At 59.2% G+C, this 15,073-nt stretch overlaps 1 protein-coding gene across 4 annotated transcripts in view, besides 4 other annotated features; it reads left to right on the top strand.

Annotated features, from left to right (window-relative positions):
* Positions 1–15,073, top strand: part of TERT (telomerase reverse transcriptase) — a 41,902-nt gene that overhangs the window by 1,806 nt on the left and 25,023 nt on the right. For 3 of the 4 annotated variants that reach the window (NR_149162.3, NM_001193376.3, NM_198253.3), the window contains exons 3-6: positions 10,639–10,834; positions 12,925–13,105; positions 13,793–13,972; positions 14,467–14,622. Coding sequence is in view for 2 of the 4 variants with exons in the window: in NM_001193376.3 (NP_001180305.1) it covers positions 10,639–10,834; positions 12,925–13,105; positions 13,793–13,972; positions 14,467–14,622 (713 nt within the window). In the remaining 2 variants the exon portion in view is untranslated. The remainder of the gene's footprint in view (positions 1–10,638; positions 10,835–12,924; positions 13,106–13,792; positions 13,973–14,466; positions 14,623–15,073) is intronic. The other variant, NR_149163.3, reaches the window with a different exon arrangement.
* Positions 1,267–2,017: an enhancer, noted in NCBI's record as "H3K27ac-H3K4me1 hESC enhancer chr5:1291361-1292111 (GRCh37/hg19 assembly coordinates)". NCBI's record gives its function as "activates a minimal SCP1, AML or CMV promoter by ChIP-STARR-seq in primed H9 embryonic stem cells {active_cell/tissue: H9 hESC(primed)}" and the evidence as "EXISTENCE:reporter gene assay evidence [ECO:0000049][PMID:30033119]".
* Positions 2,018–2,769: an enhancer, noted in NCBI's record as "H3K27ac-H3K4me1 hESC enhancer chr5:1290609-1291360 (GRCh37/hg19 assembly coordinates)". NCBI's record gives its function as "activates a minimal SCP1, AML or CMV promoter by ChIP-STARR-seq in naive H9 embryonic stem cells {active_cell/tissue: H9 hESC(naive)}" and the evidence as "EXISTENCE:reporter gene assay evidence [ECO:0000049][PMID:30033119]".
* Positions 5,543–6,789: an enhancer, noted in NCBI's record as "+7969 enhancer". NCBI's record gives the evidence for it as "EXISTENCE:reporter gene assay evidence [ECO:0000049][PMID:27191258]".
* Positions 6,172–6,197: a protein binding site, noted in NCBI's record as "Snail1 site; binds with T allele at rs2853677". NCBI's record gives its function as "disrupts promoter-enhancer interaction" and the evidence as "EXISTENCE:protein binding evidence [ECO:0000024][PMID:27191258]".

The raw sequence follows: 15,073 nt of genomic DNA, 5'->3' as shown, positions 1-15,073 counted from the left end.
AGGGGCTCAGAAAAGGGGGCAGGCAGAGCCCTGGTCCTCCTGTCTCCATCGTCACGTGGGCACACGTGGCTTTTCGCTCAGGACGTCGAGTGGACACGGTGATCTCTGCCTCTGCTCTCCCTCCTGTCCAGTTTGCATAAACTTACGAGGTTCACCTTCACGTTTTGATGGACACGCGGTTTCCAGGCGCCGAGGCCAGAGCAGTGAACAGAGGAGGCTGGGCGCGGCAGTGGAGCCGGGTTGCCGGCAATGGGGAGAAGTGTCTGGAAGCACAGACGCTCTGGCGAGGGTGCCTGCAGGTTACCTATAATCCTCTTCGCAATTTCAAGGGTGGGAATGAGAGGTGGGGACGAGAACCCCCTCTTCCTGGGGGTGGGAGGTAAGGGTTTTGCAGGTGCACGTGGTCAGCCAATATGCAGGTTTGTGTTTAAGATTTAATTGTGTGTTGACGGCCAGGTGCGGTGGCTCACGCCGGTAATCCCAGCACTTTGGGAAGCTGAGGCAGGTGGATCACCTGAGGTCAGGAGTTTGAGACCAGCCTGACCAACATGGTGAAACCCTATCTGTACTAAAAATACAAAAATTAGCTGGGCATGGTGGTGTGTGCCTGTAATCCCAGCTACTTGGGAGGCTGAGGCAGGAGAATCACTTGAACCCAGGAGGCGGAGGCTGCAGTGAGCTGAGATTGTGCCATTGTACTCCAGCCTGGGCGACAAGAGTGAAACTCTGTCTTTAAAAAAAAAAAGTGTTCGTTGATTGTGCCAGGACAGGGTAGAGGGAGGGAGATAAGACTGTTCTCCAGCACAGATCCTGGTCCCATCTTTAGGTATGAAGAGGGCCACATGGGAGCAGAGGACAGCAGATGGCTCCACCTGCTGAGGAAGGGACAGTGTTTGTGGGTGTTCAGGGGATGGTGCTGCTGGGCCCTGCCGTGTCCCCACCCTGTTTTTCTGGATTTGATGTTGAGGAACCTCCGCTCCAGCCCCCTTTTGGCTCCCAGTGCTCCCAGGCCCTACCGTGGCAGCTAGAAGAAGTCCCGATTTCACCCCCTCCCCACAAACTCCCAAGACATGTAAGACTTCCGGCCATGCAGACAAGGAGGGTGACCTTCTTGGGGCTCTTTTTTTTCTTTTTTTCTTTTTATGGTGGCAAAAGTCATATAACATGAGATTGGCACTCCTAACACCGTTTTCTGTGTACAGTGCAGAATTGCTAACTCGGCGGTGTTTACAGCAGGTTGCTTGAAATGCTGCGTCTTGCGTGACTGGAAGTCCCTACCCATCGAACGGCAGCTGCCTCACACCTGCTGCGGCTCAGGTGGACCACGCCGAGTCAGATAAGCGTCATGCAACCCAGTTTTGCTTTTTGTGCTCCAGCTTCCTTCGTTGAGGAGAGTTTGAGTTCTCTGATCAGGACTCTGCCTGTCATTGCTGTTCTCTGACTTCAGATGAGGTCACAATCTGCCCCTGGCTTATGCAGGGAGTGAGGCGTGGTCCCCGGGTGTCCCTGTCACGTGCAGGGTGAGTGAGGCGTTGCCCCCAGGTGTCCCTGTCACGTGTAGGGTGAGTGAGGCGCGGCCCCCGGGTGTCCCTGTCCCGTGCAGCGTGATTGAGGTGTGGCCCCCGGGTGTCCCTGTCCCGTGCAGGGTGAGTGAGGCACTGTCCCCGGGTGTCCCTGTCACGTGCAGGGTGAGTGAGGCGCGGTCCCCGGGTGTCCCTGTCACGTGTAGGGTGAGTGAGGCACTGTCCCCGGGTGTCCCTCTCAGGTGTAGGGTGAGTGAGGCGCCGTCCCCGGGTGTCCCTGTCACGTGTAGGGTGAGTGAGGCGTGGTCCCCGGGTGTCCCTGTCCCGTGCAGGGTGAGTGAGGCGCTGTCCCCGGGTGTCCCTGTCACGTGCAGGGTGAGTGAGGCGCGGTCCCCGGGTGTCCCTGTCACGTGTAGGGTGAGTGAGGCACCGTCCCTGGGTGTCCCTCCCAGGTGTAGGGTGAGTGAGGCGCTGTCCCCGGGTGTCCCTCTCAGGTGTAGGGTGAGTGAGGCGCGGCCCCAGGTGTCCCTGTCACGTGTAGGGTGAGTGAGGCACCGTCCCTGGGTGTCCCTCCCAGGTATAGGGTGAGTGAGGCACTGTCCCCGGGTGTCCCTGTCACGTGCAGGGTGAGTGAGGCGCGGTCCCCAGGTGTCCCTGTCACGTGTAGGGTGAGTGAGGCACTGTCCCCGGGTGTCCCTGTCCCGTGCAGGGTGAGTGAGGCGCGGTCCCCAGGTGTCCCTGTCCCGTGCAGGGTGAGTGAGGCGCCGTCCCCGGGTGTCCCTGTCACGTGCAGGGTGAGTGAGGCACGGCCCCCGGGTGTCCCTGTCACGTGCAGGGTGAGTGAGGCGCGGCCCCCGGGTGTCCCTGTCACGTGCAGGGTGAGTGAGGCGCGGCCCCCGGGTGTCCCTGTCACGTGCAGGGTGAGTGAGGCGCGGTCCCCGGGTGTCCCTGTCACGTGCAGGGTGAGTGAGGCGCGGTCCCCGGGTGTCCCTGTCACGTGCAGGGTGAGTGAGGCGCGGTCCCCGGGTGTCCCTGTCACGTGCAGGGTGAGTGAGGCACGGTCCCCGGGTGTCCCTGTCCCGTGTAGGGTGAGTGAGGCACTGTCCCCGGGTGTCCCTGTCACGTTCAGGGTGAGTGAGGCGCGGTCCCCGGGTGTCCCTGTCACGTGTAGGGTGAGTGAGGCACCGTCCCCGGGTGTCCCTGTCACGTGCAGGGTGAGTGAGGCGCTGTCCCCGGGTGTCCCTGTCACGTGCAGGGTGATTGACGCGAGGCCCCCGGGTGTCCCTGTCACGTGCAGGGTGAGTGAGGCGCCGTCCCCGCGTGTCCCTGTCACGTGCAGGGTGAGTGAGGCGCCGTCCCCGGGTGTCCCTGTCACGTGTAGGGTGAGTGAGGTGCCGTCCCCGGGTGTCCCTGTCACGTGTAGGGTGAGTGAGGCGCCGTCCCCGGGTGTCCCTGTCACGTTCAGGGTGAGTGAGGCACGGCCCCCGGGTGTCCCTGTCACGTGTAGGGTGAGTGAGGCGCGGTCCCCGGGTGTCACTGTCACGTGTAGGGTGAGTGAGGCACTGTCCCCGGGTGTCCCTGTCACGTGTAGGGTGAGTGAGGCGCGGCCCCCGGGTGTCCCTGTCACGTGCAGGGTGAGTGAGGCGCGGCCCCCGGGTGTCCCTGTCACGTGTAGGGTGAGTGAGGCGCGGCCCCCGGGTGTCCCTGTCACGTGCAGGGTGAGTGAGGCGCGGCCCCCGGGTGTCCCTGTCACGTGCAGGGTGAGTGAGGCGCGGCCCCCGGGTGTCCCTGTCACGTGCAGGGTGAGTGAGGCACGGCCCCCGGGTGTCCCTGTCACGTGCAGGGTGAGTGAGGCGCGGCCCCCGGGTGTCCCTGTCACTTGCAGGGTGAGTGAGGCACTGTCCCCGGGTGTCCCTGTCACGTTCAGGGTGAGTGAGGCGCGGTCCCCGGGTGTCCCTGTCACGTGTAGGGTGAATGAGGCACTGTCCCCGGGTGTCCCTGTCACGTGCAGGGTGAGTGAGGCGCCGTCCCCGGGTGTCCCTGTCACGTGCAGGGTGATTGACGCGAGGCCCCCGGGTGTCCCTGTCACGTGCAGGGTGAGTGAGGCGCCGTCCCCGCGTGTCCCTGTCACGTGCAGGGTGAGTGAGGCGCCGTCCCCGGGTGTCCCTGTCACGTGTAGGGTGAGTGAGGCGCCGTCCCCGGGTGTCCCTGTCACGTGTAGGGTGAGTGAGGCGCCGTCCCCGGGTGTCCCTGTCACGTGTAGGGTGAGTGAGGCGCCGTCCCCGGGTGTCCCTGTCACGTGTAGGGTGAGTGAGGCGCCGTCCCCGGGTGTCCCTGTCACGTGCAGGGTGAGTGAGGCCCCGTCCCCGGGTGTCCCTGTCACGTGTAGGGTGAGTGAGGCACTGTCCCCGGGTGTCTCTGTCACGTGTAGGGTGAGTGAGGCGCCGTCCCTGGGTGTCCCTCTCAGGTGTAGGGTGAGTGAGGCGCCATCCCCGGGTGTCCCTGTCACGTGTAGGGTGAGTGAGGCGCCGTCCCCGGGTGTCCCTGTCACGTGTAGGGTGAGTGAGTTGCGGCCCCCGGGTGTCCCTCTCAGGTGCAGGGTGAGTGAGGCGCTGTCCCTGGGTGTCCCTGTCTCGTGTAGGGTGAGTGAGGCTCTGTCCCCAGGTGTCCTTGGCGTTTGCTCACTTGAGCTTGCTCCTGAATGTTTGCTCTTTCTATAGCCACAGCTGCGCCGGTTGCCCATTGCCTGGGTAGATGGTGCAGGCGCAGTGCTGGTCCCCAAGCCTATCTTTTCTGATGCTCGGCTCTTCTTGGTCACCTCTCCGTTCCATTTTGCTACGGGGACACGGGACTGCAGGCTCTCGCCTCCCGCGTGCCAGGCACTGCAGCCACAGCTTCAGGTCCGCTTGCCTCTGTTGGGCCTGGCTTGCTCACCACGTGCCCGCCACATGCATGCTGCCAATACTCCTCTCCCAGCTTGTCTCATGCCGAGGCTGGACTCTGGGCTGCCTGTGTCTGCTGCCACGTGTTGCTGGAGACATCCCAGAAAGGGTTCTCTGTGCCCTGAAGGAAAGCAAGTCACCCCAGCCCCCTCACTTGTCCTGTTTTCTCCCAAGCTGCCCCTCTGCTTGGCCCCCTTGGGTGGGTGGCAACGCTTGTCACCTTATTCTGGGCACCTGCCGCTCATTGCTTAGGCTGGGCTCTGCCTCCAGTCGCCCCCTCACATGGATTGACGTCCAGCCACAGGTTGGAGTGTCTCTGTCTGTCTCCTGCTCTGAGACCCACGTGGAGGGCCGGTGTCTCCGCCAGCCTTCGTCAGACTTCCCTCTTGGGTCTTAGTTTTGAATTTCACTGATTTACCTCTGACGTTTCTATCTCTCCATTGTATGCTTTTTCTTGGTTTATTCTTTCATTCCTTTTCTAGCTTCTTAGTTTAGTCATGCCTTTCCCTCTAAGTGCTGCCTTACCTGCACCCTGTGTTTTGATGTGAAGTAATCTCAACATCAGCCACTTTCAAGTGTTCTTAAAATACTTCAAAGTGTTAATACTTCTTTTAAGTATTCTTATTCTGTGATTTTTTTCTTTGTGCACGCTGTGTTTTGACGTGAAATCATTTTGATATCAGTGACTTTTAAGTATTCTTTAGCTTATTCTGTGATTTCTTTGAGCAGTGAGTTATTTGAACACTGTTTATGTTCAAGATATGTAGAGTATCAAGATACGTAGAGTATTTTAAGTTATCATTTTATTATTGATTTCTAACTCAGTTGTGTAGTGGTCTGTATAATACCAATTATTTGAAGTTTGCGGAGCCTTGCTTTGTGATCTAGTGTGTGCATGGTTTCCAGAACTGTCCATTGTAAATTTGACATCCTGTCAATAGTGGGCATGCATGTTCACTATATCCAGCTTATTAAGGTCCAGTGCAAAGCTTCTGTCTCCTTCTAGATGCATGAAATTCCAAGAAGGAGGCCATAGTCCCTCACCTGGGGGATGGGTCTGTTCATTTCTTCTCGTTTGGTAGCATTTATGTGAGGCATTGTTAGGTGCATGCACGTGGTAGAATTTTTATCTTCCTGATGAGTGAATCTTTTGGAGACTTCTATGTCTCTAGTAATCTAGTAATTCTTTTTTTAAATTGCTCTTAGTACTGCCACACTGGGCTTCTTTTGATTAGTATTTTCCTGCTGTGTCTGTTTTCTGCCTTTAATTTATATATATATATATATATTTTTTTTTTTTGAGACAGAGTCTTGGTCTGTCGCCCAGGGTGAGTGCAGTGGTGTGATCACAGGTCAGTGTAACTTTTACCTTCTGGCCTGAGCCGTCCTCTCACCTCAGCCTCCTGAATAGCTGGAACTGCAGACACGCACCGCTACACCTGGCTAATTTTTAAATTTTTTCTGGAGACAGGGTCTTGCTGTGTTGCCCAGGCTGGTCTCAAACTCTTGGACTCAAGGGATCCATCTACCTCGGCTTCCCAAAGTGCTGAATTACAGGCATGAGCCACCATGTCTGGCCTAATTTTCAACACTTTTATATTCTTATAGTGTGGGTATGTCCTGTTAACAGCATGTAGGTGAATTTCCAATCCAGTCTGACAGTCGTTGTTTAACTGGATAACCTGATTTATTTTCATTTTTTTGTCACTAGAGACCCGCCTGGTGCACTCTGATTCTCCACTTGCCTGTTGCATGTCCTCGTTCCCTTGTTTCTCACCACCTCTTGGGTTGCCATGTGCGTTTCCTGCCGAGTGTGTGTTGATCCTCTCGTTGCCTCCTGGTCACTGGGCATTTGCTTTTATTTCTCTTTGCTTAGTGTTACCCCCTGATCTTTTTATTGTCGTTGTTTGCTTTTGTTTATTGAGACAGTCTCACTCTGTCACCCAGGCTGGAGTGTAATGGCACAATCTCGGCTCACTGCAACCTCTGCCTCCTCGGTTCAAGCAGTTCTCATTCCTCAACCTCATGAGTAGCTGGGATTACAGGCGCCCACCACCACGCCTGGCTAATTTTTGTATTTTTAGTAGAGATAGGCTTTCACCATGTTGGCCAGGCTGGTCTCAAACTCCTGACCTCAAGTGATCTGCCCGCCTTGGCCTCCCACAGTGCTGGGATTACAGGTGCAAGCCACCGTGCCCGGCATACCTTGATCTTTTAAAATGAAGTCTGAAACATTGCTACCCTTGTCCTGAGCAATAAGACCCTTAGTGTATTTTAGCTCTGGCCACCCCCCAGCCTGTGTGCTGTTTTCCCTGCTGACTTAGTTCTATCTCAGGCATCTTGACACCCCCACAAGCTAAGCATTATTAATATTGTTTTCCGTGTTGAGTGTTTCTGTAGCTTTGCCCCCGCCCTGCTTTTCCTCCTTTGTTCCCCGTCTGTCTTCTGTCTCAGGCCCGCCGTCTGGGGTCCCCTTCCTTGTCCTTTGCGTGGTTCTTCTGTCTTGTTATTGCTGGTAAACCCCAGCTTTACCTGTGCTGGCCTCCATGGCATCTAGCGACGTCCGGGGACCTCTGCTTATGATGCACAGATGAAGATGTGGAGACTCACGAGGAGGGCGGTCATCTTGGCCCGTGAGTGTCTGGAGCACCACGTGGCCAGCGTTCCTTAGCCAGTGAGTGACAGCAACGTCCGCTCGGCCTGGGTTCAGCCTGGAAAACCCCAGGCATGTCGGGGTCTGGTGGCTCCGCGGTGTCGAGTTTGAAATCGCGCAAACCTGCGGTGTGGCGCCAGCTCTGACGGTGCTGCCTGGCGGGGGAGTGTCTGCTTCCTCCCTTCTGCTTGGGAACCAGGACAAAGGATGAGGCTCCGAGCCGTTGTCGCCCAACAGGAGCATGACGTGAGCCATGTGGATAATTTTAAAATTTCTAGGCTGGGCGCGGTGGCTCACGCCTGTAATCCCAGCACTTTGGGAGGCCAAGGCGGGTGGATCACGAGGTCAGGAGGTCGAGACCATCCTGGCCAACATGATGAAACCCCATCTGTACTAAAAACACAAAAATTAGCTGGGCGTGGTGGCGGGTGCCTGTAATCCCAGCTACTCGGGAGGCTGAGGCAGGAGAATTGCTTGAACCTGGGAGTTGGAAGTTGCAGTGAGCCGACATTGCACCACTGCACTCCAGCCTGGCAACACAGCGAGACTCTGTCTCAAAAAAAAAAAAAAAAAAAAAAATTCTAGTAGCCACATTAAAAAAGTAAAAAAGAAAAGGTGAAATTAATGTAATAATAGATTTTACTGAAGCCCAGCATGTCCACACCTCATCATTTTAGGGTGTTATTGGTGGGAGCATCACTCACAGGACATTTGACATTTTTTGAGCTTTGTCTGCGGGATCCCGTGTGTAGGTCCCGTGCGTGGCCATCTCGGCCTGGACCTGCTGGGCTTCCCATGGCCATGGCTGTTGTACCAGATGGTGCAGGTCCGGGATGAGGTCGCCAGGCCCTCAGTGAGCTGGATGTGCAGTGTCCGGATGGTGCACGTCTGGGATGAGGTCGCCAGGCCCTGCTGTGAGCTGGATGTGTGGTGTCTGGATGGTGCAGGTCAGGGGTGAGGTCTCCAGGCCCTCGGTGAGCTGGAGGTATGGAGTCCGGATGATGCAGGTCCGGGGTGAGGTCGCCAGGCCCTGCTGTGAGCTGGATGTGTGGTGTCTGGATGGTGCAGGTCAGGGGTGAGGTCTCCAGGCCCTCGGTGAGCTGGAGGTATGGAGTCCGGATGATGCAGGTCCGGGGTGAGGTCGCCAGGCCCTGCTGTGAGCTGGATGTGTGGTGTCTGGATGGTGCAGGTCTGGGGTGAGGTCACCAGGCCCTGCGGTGAGCTGGGTGTGCGGTGTCTGGATGGTGCAGGTCTGGAGTGAGGTCGCCAGACGGTGCCAGACCGTGCGGTGAGCTGGATATGCGGTGTCCGGATGGTGCAGGTCTGGGGTGAGGTTGCCAGGCCCTGCTGTGAGTTGGATGTGGGGTGTCCGGATGCTGCAGGTCCGGTGTGAGGTCACCAGGCCCTGCTGTGAGCTGGATGTGTGGTGTCTGGATGGTGCAGGTCTGGGGTGAGGTCGCCAGGCCCTGCTGTGAGCTGGATGTGTGGTGTCTGGATGGTGCAGGTCTGGAGTGAGGTCGCCAGGCCCTCGGTGAGCTGGATGTGCAGTGTCCAGATGGTGCAGGTCCGGGGTGAGGTCGCCAGACCCTGCGGTGAGCTGGATGTGCGGTGTCTGGATGGTGCAGGTCTGGAGTGAGGTCGCCAGGCCCTCGGTGAGCTGGATGTATGGAGTCCGGATGGTGCCGGTCCGGGGTGAGGTCGCCAGACCCTGCTGTGAGCTGGATATGCGGTGTCCGGATGGTGCAGGTCAGGGGTGAGGTCTCCAGGCCCTCGGTGAGCTGGAGGTATGGAGTCCGGATGATGCAGGTCCGGGGTGAGGTCGCCAGGCCCTGCTGTGAGCTGGATGTGCGGCGTCTGGATGGTGCAGGTCTGGGGTGTGGTCGCCAGGCCCTCGGTGAGCTGGAGGTATGGAGTCCGGATGATGCAGGTCCGGGGTGAGGTCGCCAGGCCCTGCTGTGAGCTGGATGTGCGGCGTCTGGATGGTGCAGGTCTGGGGTGTGGTCGCCAGGCCCTCGGTGAGCTGGAGGTATGGAGTCCGGATGATGCAGGTCCGGGGTGAGGTTGCCAGGCCCTGCTGTGAGCTGGATGTGCTGTATCCGGATGGTGCAGGTCCGGGGTGAGGTCGCCAGGCCCTGCTGTGAGCTGGATGTGCTGTATCCGGATGGTGCAGGTCTGGGGTGAGGTCACCAGGCCCTGCGGTGAGCTGGTTGTGCAGTGTCCGGTTGCTGCAGGTCCGGGGTGAGTTCGCCAGGCCCTCGGTGAGCTGGATGTGCGGTGTCCCCGTGTCCGGATGGTGCAGGTCCAGGGTGAGGTCGCTAGGCCCTTGGTGGGCTGGATGTGCCGTGTCCGGATGGTGCAGGTCTGGGGTGAGGTCGCCAGGCCTTTGGTGAGCTGGATGTGCGGTGTCTGCATGGTGCATGTCTGGGGTGAGGTCGCCAGGCCCTTGGTGGGCTGGATGTGTGGTGTCCGGATGGTGCAGGTCCGGCGTGAGGTCGCCAGGCCCTGCTGTGAGCTGGATGTGCGGTGTCTGGATGGTGCAGGTCCGGGGTGAGGTAGCCAAGGCCTTCGGTGAGCTGGATGTGGGGTGTCCGGATGGTGCAGGTCCGGGGTGAGGTCGCCAGGCCCTGCGGTTAGCTGGATATGCGGTGTCCGGATGGTGCAGGTCCGGGGTGAGGTCACCAGGCCCTGCGGTTAGCTGGATGTGCGGTGTCTGGATGGTGCAGGTCCGGGGTGAGGTCGCCAGGCCCTGCTGTGAGCTGGATGTGCTGTATCCAGATGGTGCAGGTCCGGGGTGAGGTCGCCAGGCCCTGCAGTGAGCTGGATGTGCTGTATCCGGATGGTGCAGGTCTGGCGTGAGGTCGCCAGGCCCTGCGGTTAGCTGGATATGCGGTGTCGGATGGTGCAGGTCCGGGGTGAGGTCACCAGGCCCTGCGGTTAGCTGGATGTGTGGTGTCCGGATGGTGCAGGTCTGGGGTGAGGTCGCCAGGCCCTGCTGTGAGCTGGATGTGCTGTATCCGGATGGTGCAGGTCCGGGGTGAGGTCGCCAGGCCCTGCGGTGAGCTGGATGTGCTGTATCCGGATGGTGCAGGTCTGGCGTGAGGTCGCCAGGCCCTGCGGTGAGCTGGATGTGCAGTGTACGGATGGTGCAGGTCCGGAGTGAGGTCGCCAGGCCCTGCGGTGGGCTGTATGTGTGTTGTCTGGATGGTGCAGGTCCGGGGTGAGTTCGCCAGGCCCTGCGGTGAGCTGGATGTGTGGTGTCTGGATGCTGCAGGTCCGGGGTGAGTTCGCCAGGCCCTCGGTGAGCTGGATATGCGGTGTCCCCGTGTCCGAATGGTGCAGGTCCAGGGTGAGGTCGCCAGGCCCTTGGTGGGCTGGATGTGCCGTGTCCGGATGGTGCAGGTCTGGGGTGAGGTCGCCAGGCCCTTGGTGAGCTGGATGTGCGGTGTCCGGATGGTGCAGGTCCGGGGTGAGGTCACCAGGCCCTCGGTGATCTGGATGTGGCATGTCCTTCTCGTTTAAGGGGTTGGCTGTGTTCCGGCCGCAGAGCACCGTCTGCGTGAGGAGATCCTGGCCAAGTTCCTGCACTGGCTGATGAGTGTGTACGTCGTCGAGCTGCTCAGGTCTTTCTTTTATGTCACGGAGACCACGTTTCAAAAGAACAGGCTCTTTTTCTACCGGAAGAGTGTCTGGAGCAAGTTGCAAAGCATTGGAATCAGGTACTGTATCCCCACGCCAGGCCTCTGCTTCTCGAAGTCCTGGAACACCAGCCCGGCCTCAGCATGCGCCTGTCTCCACTTGCCTGTGCTTCCCTGGCTGTGCAGCTCTGGGCTGGGAGCCAGGGGCCCCGTCACAGGCCTGGTCCAAGTGGATTCTGTGCAAGGCTCTGACTGCCTGGAGCTCACGTTCTCTTACTTGTAAAATCAGGAGTTTGTGCCAAGTGGTCTCTAGGGTTTGTAAAGCAGAAGGGATTTAAATTAGATGGAAACACTACCACTAGCCTCCTTGCCTTTCCCTGGGATGTGGGTCTGATTCTCTCTCTCTTTTTTTTTTCTTTTTTGAGATGGAGTCTCACTCTGTTGCCCAGGCTGGAGTGCAGTGGCATAATCTTGGCTCACTGCAACCTCCACCTCCTGGGTTTAAGCGATTCACCAGCCTCAGCCTCCTAAGTAGCTGGGATTACAGGCACCTGCCACCACGCCTGGCTAATTTTTGTACTTTTAGGAGAGACGGGGTTTCACCATGTTGGCCAGGCTGGTCTCGAACTCATGACCTCAGGTGATCCACCCACCTTGGCCTCCCAAAGTGCTGGGTTTACAGGCTAAGCCACCGTGCCCAGCCCCCGATTCTCTTTTAATTCATGCTGTTCTGTATGAATCTTCAATCTATTGGATTTAGGTCATGAGAGGATAAAATCCCACCCACTTGGCGACTCACTGCAGGGAGCACCTGTGCAGGGAGCACCTGGGGATAGGAGAGTTCCACCATGAGCTAACTTCTAGGTGGCTGCATTTGAATGGCTGTGAGATTTTGTCTGCAATGTTCGGCTGATGAGAGTGTGAGATTGTGACAGATTCAAGCTGGATTTGCATCAGTGAGGGACGGGAGCGCTGGTCTGGGAGATGCCAGCCTGGCTGAGCCCAGGCCATGGTATTAGCTTCTCCGTGTCCCGCCCAGGCTGACTGTGGAGGGCTTTAGTCAGAAGATCAGGGCTTCCCCAGCTCCCCTGCACACTCGAGTCCCTGGGGGGCCTTGTGACACCCCATGCCCCAAATCAGGATGTCTGCAGAGGGAGCTGGCAGCAGACCTCGTCAGAGGTAACACAGCCTCTGGGCTGGGGACCCCGACGTGGTGCTGGGGCCATTTCCTTGCATCTGGGGGAGGGTCAGGGCTTTCCCTGTGGGAACAAGTTAATACACAATGCACCTTACTTAGACTTTACACGTATTTAATGGTGTGCGACCCAACATGGTCATTTGACCAGTATTTTGGAAAGAATTTAATTGGGGTGACCGGAAGGAGCAGACAGACGTGGTGGTCCCCAAGATGCTCCTTGTCACTACTGGGACTGTTGTTCTGCCTGGGGGGCCTTGGAGGCCCCTCCTCCCTGGACAGGGTACCGTGCCTTTTCTACTCTGCTGGGCCTGCGGCCTGCGGTCAGGGCACCAGCTCCGGAGCACCCGCGGCCCCAGTGTCCACGGAGTGCCAGGCTGTCAGCCACAGATGCCCAGGTCCAGGTGTGGCCGCTCCAGCCCCCGTGCCCCCATGGGTGGTTTTGGGGGAAAAGGCCAAAGGGCAGAGGTGTCAGGAGACTGGTGGGCTCATGAGAGCTGATTCTGCTCCTTGGCTGAGCTGCCCTGAGCAGCCTCTCCCGCCCTCTCCATCTGAAGGGATGTGGCTCTTTCTACCTGGGGGTCCTGCCTGGGGCCAGCCTTGGGCTACCCCAGTGGCTGTACCAGAGGGACAGGCATCCTGTGTGGAGGGGCATGGGTTCACGTGGCCCCAGATGCAGCCTGGGACCAGGCTCCCTGGTGCTGATGGTGGGACAGTCACCCTGGGGGTTGACCGCCGGACTGGGCGTCCCCAGGGTTGACTATAGGACCAGGTGTCCAGGTGCCCTGCAAGTAGAGGGGCTCTCAGAGGCGTCTGGCTGGCATGGGTGGACGTGGCCCCGGGCATGGCCTTCAGCGTGTGCTGCCGTGGGTGCCCTGAGCCCTCACTGAGTCGGTGGGGGCTTGTGGCTTCCCGTGAGCTTCCCCCTAGTCTGTTGTCTGGCTGAGCAAGCCTCCTGAGGGGCTCTCTATTGCAGACAGCACTTGAAGAGGGTGCAGCTGCGGGAGCTGTCGGAAGCAGAGGTCAGGCAGCATCGGGAAGCCAGGCCCGCCCTGCTGACGTCCAGACTCCGCTTCATCCCCAAGCCTGACGGGCTGCGGCCGATTGTGAACATGGACTACGTCGTGGGAGCCAGAACGTTCCGCAGAGAAAAGAGGGTGGCTGTGCTTTGGTTTAACTTCCTTTTTAAACAGAAGTGCGTTTGAGCCCCACATTTGGTATCAGCTTAGATGAAGGGCCCGGAGGAGGGGCCACGGGACACAGCCAGGGCCATGGCACGGCGCCAACCCATTTGTGCGCACAGTGAGGTGGCCGAGGTGCCGGTGCCTCCAGAAAAGCAGCGTGGGGGTGTAGGGGGAGCTCCTGGGGCAGGGACAGGCTCTGAGGACCACAAGAAGCAGCCGGGCCAGGGCCTGGATGCAGCACGGCCCGAGGTCCTGGATCCGTGTCCTGCTGTGGTGCGCAGCCTCCGTGCGCTTCCGCTTACGGGGCCCGGGGACCAGGCCACGACTGCCAGGAGCCCACCGGGCTCTGAGGATCCTGGACCTTGCCCCACGGCTCCTGCACCCCACCCCTGTGGCTGCGGTGGCTGCGGTGACCCCGTCATCTGAGGAGAGTGTGGGGTGAGGTGGACAGAGGTGTGGCATGAGGATCCCGTGTGCAACACACATGCGGCCAGGAACCCGTTTCAAACAGGGTCTGAGGAAGCTGGGAGGGGTTCTAGGTCCCGGGTCTGGGTGGCTGGGGACACTGGGGAGGGGCTGCTTCTCCCCTGGGTCCCTATGGTGGGGTGGGCACTTGGCCGGATCCACTTTCCTGACTGTCTCCCATGCTGTCCCCGCCAGGCCGAGCGTCTCACCTCGAGGGTGAAGGCACTGTTCAGCGTGCTCAACTACGAGCGGGCGCGGCGCCCCGGCCTCCTGGGCGCCTCTGTGCTGGGCCTGGACGATATCCACAGGGCCTGGCGCACCTTCGTGCTGCGTGTGCGGGCCCAGGACCCGCCGCCTGAGCTGTACTTTGTCAAGGTGGGTGCCGGGGACCCCCGTGAGCAGCCCTGCTGGACCTTGGGAGTGGCTGCCTGATTGGCACCTCATGTTGGGTGGAGGAGGTACTCCTGGGTGGGCCGCAGGGAGTGCAGGTGACCCTGTCACTGTTGAGGACACACCTGGCACCTAGGGTGGAGGCCTTCAGCCTTTCCTGCAGCACATGGGGCCGACTGTGCACCCTGACTGCCCGGGCTCCTATTCCCAAGGAGGGTCCCACTGGATTCCAGTTTCCGTCAGAGAAGGAACCGCAACGGCTCAGCCACCAGGCCCCGGTGCCTTGCACCCCAGTCCTGAGCCAGGGGTCTCCTGTCCTGAGGCTCAGAGAGGGGACACAGCCCGCCCTGCCCTTGGGGTCTGGAGTGGTGGGGGTCAGAGAGAGAGTGGGGGACACCGCCAGGCCAGGCCCTGAGGGCAGAGGTGATGTCTGAGTTTCTGCGTGGCCACTGTCAGTCTCCTCGCCTCCACTCACACAGGTGGATGTGACGGGCGCGTACGACACCATCCCCCAGGACAGGCTCACGGAGGTCATCGCCAGCATCATCAAACCCCAGAACACGTACTGCGTGCGTCGGTATGCCGTGGTCCAGAAGGCCGCCCATGGGCACGTCCGCAAGGCCTTCAAGAGCCACGTAAGGTTCACGTGTGATAGTCGTGTCCAGGATGTGTGTCTCTGGGATATGAATGTGTCTAGAATGCAGTCGTGTCTGTGATGCGTTTCTGTGGTGGAGGTACTTCCATGATTTACACATCTGTGATATGCGTGTGTGGCACGTGTGTGTCGTGGTGCATGTATCTGTGGCGTGCATATTTGTGGTGTGTGTGTGTGTGGCACGTGTGTGTCCATGGTGTGTGTGCCTGTGGTGTGCATGTGTGTGTGTCTGTGACACGTGCATGTTCATGCTGTGTGCTGCATGTCTGTGATGTGCCTATTTGTGGTGTGTGTGTGTGCATGTGTCCGTGACATATGCGTGTCTATGGCATGGGTGTGTGTGGCCCCTTGGCCTTACTCCTTCCTCCTCCAGGCATGGTCCGCACCATTGTCCTCACGCTCTCGGGTGCTGGTTTGGGGAGCTCCACATT

The sequence above is a fragment of the Homo sapiens genome, chromosome 5, assembly GCF_000001405.40.
Source record: "Homo sapiens chromosome 5, GRCh38.p14 Primary Assembly".
Classification (NCBI taxonomy): domain Eukaryota; kingdom Metazoa; phylum Chordata; class Mammalia; order Primates; family Hominidae; genus Homo; species Homo sapiens.
This window is presented reverse-complemented; position numbering and strand designations above follow the sequence as displayed.